Here is a 6,000-nt window from a genome sequence, read left to right on the forward strand (position 1 = left end):
GAATATCTGTTACTCTTGGAATGGGGAAAGAATCATCTAGTCATCTGCCAAGAGGTATAAACCTAAAGTTTAGAAACAGAAATCTGACTTTTAAATGTTACAGTTCTATATGATATTTGTTCCATGGAGTAAATCATAAAGTTTCTCTCTCTCTCTCTCTTTTTTTTTTTTTTTTTTGTTTTTTGGGAGATGGAGTTTCACTGTCCTCACCCAGGCTGGAGTGCAATGGCACGATCTCGTCTCGCTGAAACCTCCACCTCCCAGGTTCAAGCAATTCTCCTGTCTCAGCCTCCCAAGTAGCTGGGATTACAGGTGCCTGCCACCACACCTGGCTAATTTTTGTATTTTTAGTAGAGACGGGGGTTTTACCATTTTCGCCAGGCTGGTCTCGAACTCCTGACGTGAAGTGATCCACCCACTTCAGCCTCCCAAAGTGCTGGGATTACAGGAGTGAGCCACCGTGCCTGGCCACAAAGTATCTCTTTTGTCAGGTGAGTTTTTTAACTTCTAGAAATATGCCACAAAGTGAGCCAGGTGTGGTGGCTCCGCCTGTAATGGTAGCACTGGGAGGCCGAGGCAGGTGGATCACGAGGTCAGGAGTTTGAGACGAGCCTGGCCAACATGGCAAAACCTGTCTCTACTAAAAATACAAAAATTAGCCAAGCGTGGTGGCATACGCCTGTAGTCCCAGCTACTCGGGAGGCTGAGGCAGGAGACTTGCTTGAACCTAGGAGGCAAATGTTGCAATGAGCCCAGATTGCACTACTGCACTCCAGCCAGGGTAACAGAGTGAGACTTTGCCTCCAAAAATAAAAAAATAAAATAACGAAAAGCTATTGGATTGACCATTGATACTTTCCACATCTGAAGAAATCTACCTTATTTTCAAAAGGGCAAAAAAAGGAAGGGTTCCCCGCCCCAGGTTAAAATATAGTAAAATCTCTGAGTAATTCATAACAAATAAAGCACCTTCACACTACCATAAATCTCTACACTGTGTTCCAATCTGTTGAGTGCCTGAATCCAATGACAGCTTTGGACGTCCCCTTCCCCCATAATCTCTGTGCAGACCCTCAACCTCACCCCAGATGCCTTTGGAGTTTTCATTCTTTATTATAAGCAATTGATAGTTTCTCAGACTTTTATATACAGCGTAAAGAAAATCCGTACCCAGCCGGGCGGTGGCTCACGCCTGTAATCCCAGCACTTTGGGAGGCCGAGGCGGGCGGATCACGAGGTCAGGAGATGGAGACCATCCTGGCTAACACGGTGAAACGCCGTCTCTACTAAAAATACAAAAAAAAATAGGTGGGCATGGTAGCAGGCGCCTGTGGTCCCAGCTACTCGGGAGGCTGAGGCAGGAGAATGACGTGAACCCGGGAGGCGGAGCTTGCAGTGAGCGGAGATCGCGCCACTGCACTTCAGCCTGGGCGACTGAGCGAGACTCCTCCAAAAACAAAAACAAAAACAAACAAAAAAAAGAAAATCCGTACCCTTACTACTACACTAGGGGCACAAGGCGGGGAAGAGACTCAAACAATAAGAGCTACTACTGTTTGCTGAACACTTATGTACTGAGTACATTCCATCCTCAGAATCAACCTTAAACTGTTAACATCCTCATTTTACAGATGAGGAAAATGAGGCTCAGAAGAGTTAACTAACCTAAGAGACCCTGAAGTCCTAGCATTTTCCACATGGAACATTTTCCCCTGCAGGTCCCCTTTGCCTGTAGTTGTTCCTTCCACCTCTTCCTGTGCAGGATCTTAGCCCCTAACTGTTCCTCCTGTCCAGGCTGATCAATCCAAAGTGCCCAAACAGTGGCTGCTCATCTGCAACAACAATTCCTCCCTCTTTCAAGAATCTCTTTGACCAACTCTTCCCCAAACTAGCCGCATTCTGGCTGACAGTCCCCTCTCCCACTCCAGCTGAAGTTCGATAAAATTCTTGCCGTTTCTTCCCCCAAGACAGGCCGTTTTTTAGCTCCTTCTCAGGCCTGACATTTTGAATAATGTCTATGCTAATGGAGATTCAGACCCTGATCTCTTCACTGCCGTACTATACTGGTAGTTTTCAAATTTAAAAGTCACTGGTTGAATTGTTTGTTTGCAACTTGAAATGTCCTCTCTCATAGAAGTGATACCATGGTCTGAAGCCAGCCTTTTCAGCTGTTATAATCATCCTGAAGCTGCCTAAGTGGAGGAAATAAGGCAGTAATGAAATAAAAGATTGGATTTAAGTGAATGAAAGAAACAGGTTTTGGTAGAGTGACCATATAATTTACTATCCAACCAGGATACTCCGGGGAGTGAAAAGGTGCTATTAATAATTACACCAGGACAATAGGCAGGCATAAACTGAGGCTGTCCTGGACACATCAGGACATATGTTCACTCTAGGTGTCGGTCACATCAGAATGGCTTTGAGCAATTCACCCTAACCTCCTTGAGCCTCAATTTCTTCTTCTTCTTCTTCTTTTCTTTTTTTTTTTTTTGAGACAGGGTCTCATTCTGTCACTCAGGCTAAAGTGCAATGGTGTGATCTCGGCTCACTGCAGCAGCCCCAAACTCCTGGGCTCAAGCAATCCTCCTGCCTCAGTGTCCCTTGTACCTGGGACTAGAATCGCCCCACCAAGCCCAACTAATTAAAAACAATTTTTTTTTTTTGAGATGGAGTCTCGCTCTGTTGCCCAGGCTGGAGTGTGGTGGTGCAATCTTGGCTCACTGCAAGCTCCGCGTCCCGGGTTCATGCCATTCTCCTACCTCAGCCTCCTGCGTAGCTGGGACTACAGGTGCCCGCCACCATGCCCGGCTAGTTTTCTGTATTTTTAGTAGAGACGGGGTTTCACCATGTTAGCCAGGATGGTCTCGATCTCCTGACCTCGTGATCCACCCGCCTCGGCCTCCCAAAGTGCTGGGATTACAGGTGTGAGCCACCGCGCCCGGCCAAAAACATTTTTTTTTTTTGTAGAACTGGAATCTCACCATGTTGCCCATGCTGGTTTCAAACTCCGATCCTCAAATGATCCCATTGCCTCAGCCTCCCAAAGTGCTGGGATTATAAGTGTGGGCCACCGTCTCCAGCCTGAGCCTCAATTTCTTTATTGTGAAATGGGAGGATTGACATTATGGGGTGATTGTGAGAATGACATAAGTCAGAGTCTATTGTGCAAAATTGAATTTGTAAAGTACCATATAAATATACTTTTTCAGATAATAGTTATGACTAATACTGTTACAGGAAAGGTGTCCCAATCCAGACCCCAAGAGAAGGTTCTGGATCCTGCACAAGAAAGAATTTGGGGCGAGTTCATAAAGTAAAGTGAAAGCAAGTTTATTAGAGAAGTAAAAGAATAAAAGAATGGCTACTCCATAGGCAGAGCAGTGGCACGGGATGTTCAACTGAGTACACGTATAGTTATTTCTTGATTATATGTTAAACAAGGGGTGGATCATTCATGAGTTTTCCAGGAAAAGGGCAGGGATTTACCCTAACTGAGGGTTCCTCCCCTTTTAGACCATATAGGGTAACTTCCTAATGTTGCCATGGCGTTTGTAAACTGTCGTGGTGCTGCTGGGAGTGTCTTTGAGTATGCTAATGCATTATAATTAGCGTATAGTGAGCAGTGAGGACAACTAGAGGTCACTTTCATCACCACCTTGGTTTTGGCAGGTTTTGGCTGCCTTCTTTATGGCATTGTTTTATCAGCAGGGTCTTTATGACCTCTATCTTGTCCTGCTGACCTATCTTGTCCTGTGACTAAGAATGCTTAACCTCCTGGGAATGCAGCCCAGTAGGTGTTAGCCTCATTTTACCCAGACCTTATTCAAGATGGAGTCCCTCTGGTTCCAATGCGTCTGACAATACTGCTGCCCTGAGGTGCCTGGTGCTGATTAGACCGCGATCAAGTGCATATTCGCTGTTGATTGATGTTACTCTCCTCTGTGCCACTCTCCCTATGTGGGCAGTCTCTTCTAACTGCGGGAACAGCAAACCAACCAGTGAGAAAGGCCATCGTCATTTCATTCTTTTGTGTGCCAAAGCACACAAACCACTTAGAGAATATTAGAGAATATGTTCTATTTCCTTCCAGAAAAAAAAAACCCACTTTTTTTTTTTTTTTGAGACAGAGTCTGGGTGGAGTGCAGTGGCGCGATCTTGGCTCACTGCACCCTCATCTTCCTGGGCTCAAGCAATCCTCCTACCTTAGCCTCCAGAGTAGCTGGTACTACAGGCACATGCCACCATACCTGGCTAATATTTTTGTATTTTTGGTGAAGATGGTGTTTCGCTGCATTGCCCAGGCTGGTCTACAACGCCTGAGCTCAAGCCATCTGCCTGCCTCTGCCTCCCAAAGTGCTGGGATTATAGGCATGAGCCACCGCGCCTGGACTCACACATTCTGTTTCGATTGAAGTATAAAATGAGTTAGTGTTGGTGAGTAAAACATGAAATTTATAAACCCAAACCCCAATCAGCAAGCTAGTGAGAGAGAGTGCTCAGCATGGGTGCTCAGCACGCAGGAAGTCCTTGAGCACAGGCTCAGCTCACTTTTCACTTACAATTGAAAATCTGCACTCAGGTTATGTCATCTTTGGATACTCCCTCCTCAGACTTCTCCCCAGATCTCTAGGCAAGGGGGCACTAATTAGACCAACGTGCTTTGCAGCCCTTGTTGACTATTTCCCTCACTTGTCGTTATAACATTGCCTTGAGGAGGAGACACTTCTACAGTAACCAGGACATGCCCGGGAAGTCCCATTGTGTGGGGCCCTTTACCCACCTTTTTGGCCAGCTTCCAGTGTTCTTGACTTACTGGAGATCTGGTAGTCTTACGGCCGAAACATAATTCGGTTTTCATTCTCTTATCTCATGTCCGAGAACCAACTATTCAACTTCCTCCCTCACTGCTGACTGGGGCGACTTTTCCATGGAACTAAAAATCCTCCACATACCCGCTCTATATGACCTTGTTCTTTATTTTCCAAGGTTCTTAACCTAATACAGTTATTATTTACAATTCTGTGTAAATCCTTTGTGGGATTTTTTTACATACTATAACCATTCATACATTCAACACATATTTTTTGAGTGTCTAGTATATACAACAGGTGTTGGTCTAGGTCTAGGGCTGTATCAGTGAATGAAACTAAGTCTTTACTGTCAAGGAGTTTACATTTAATTGGGTGACACAAAAACTACAATAGATAGATAATGTGTCTATTATAGAAATGATAATAGGTGTTATGGGAGAAAATTATTATAGTGTAAGGAGGACAGGTAGTCCAGGGGAGGGGTGTGGAAATACTGCTTTACACAAGGGTAGTCTGGGACAGCTCCGCTGTCAAGGTGGTATCTGAATAGAAATGAGAGAGTAAGCCATATGGATATGTGATGAAAGTGTCCCTGGCCGGGCGCGGTGGCTCACGCCTGTAATCCCAGCATTTTAAGAGGCCGAGGCGGGCGGATCACGAGACCATCCTGGCTAACACGGTGAAACCCCGTCTCTACTAAAAATACAAAAAATTAGCCGGGCGTGTTGGCGGGCGCCTGTAGTCCCAGCTACTCGGGAGGCTGAGGCACGAGAATGGCGGAGCTTGCAGTGAGCCGAGATCACGCCACTGCACTCCAGCCTGGGCGACAGCGATACTCCGTCTCAAAAAAACAAAAACAAAAACAAACAAACAAAAAAACGCAAAATTAGCCAGGTGTGGTGTTGTGCGCCTGTAGTCCCAGCTACTCAGGAGGCTGTGGCAGAAGAATTGCTTAAATCCGGGAGGTGGAGGTTGCGGTGAGCCGAGATCGCGACATTGCACTCCAGCCTGGGCAACAAGAGCAAGACTCCGTCCCAAAAATAAAAAAATGAAAATAAATAAAAAGAGACGGCCAGGAGCGGTGGCTTACACATGTAATCCCAGCACTTTGGGTGGCTGAGGCGGGTGGTTCAGCTGAGGTCGAGAGTTTGAGACCAGCCTGACCAACATGGAGAAACCCTGTCTC

This window comes from Homo sapiens, chromosome 12, assembly GCF_000001405.40.
Source record: "Homo sapiens chromosome 12, GRCh38.p14 Primary Assembly".
Classification (NCBI taxonomy): Eukaryota; Metazoa; Chordata; class Mammalia; order Primates; family Hominidae; genus Homo; species Homo sapiens.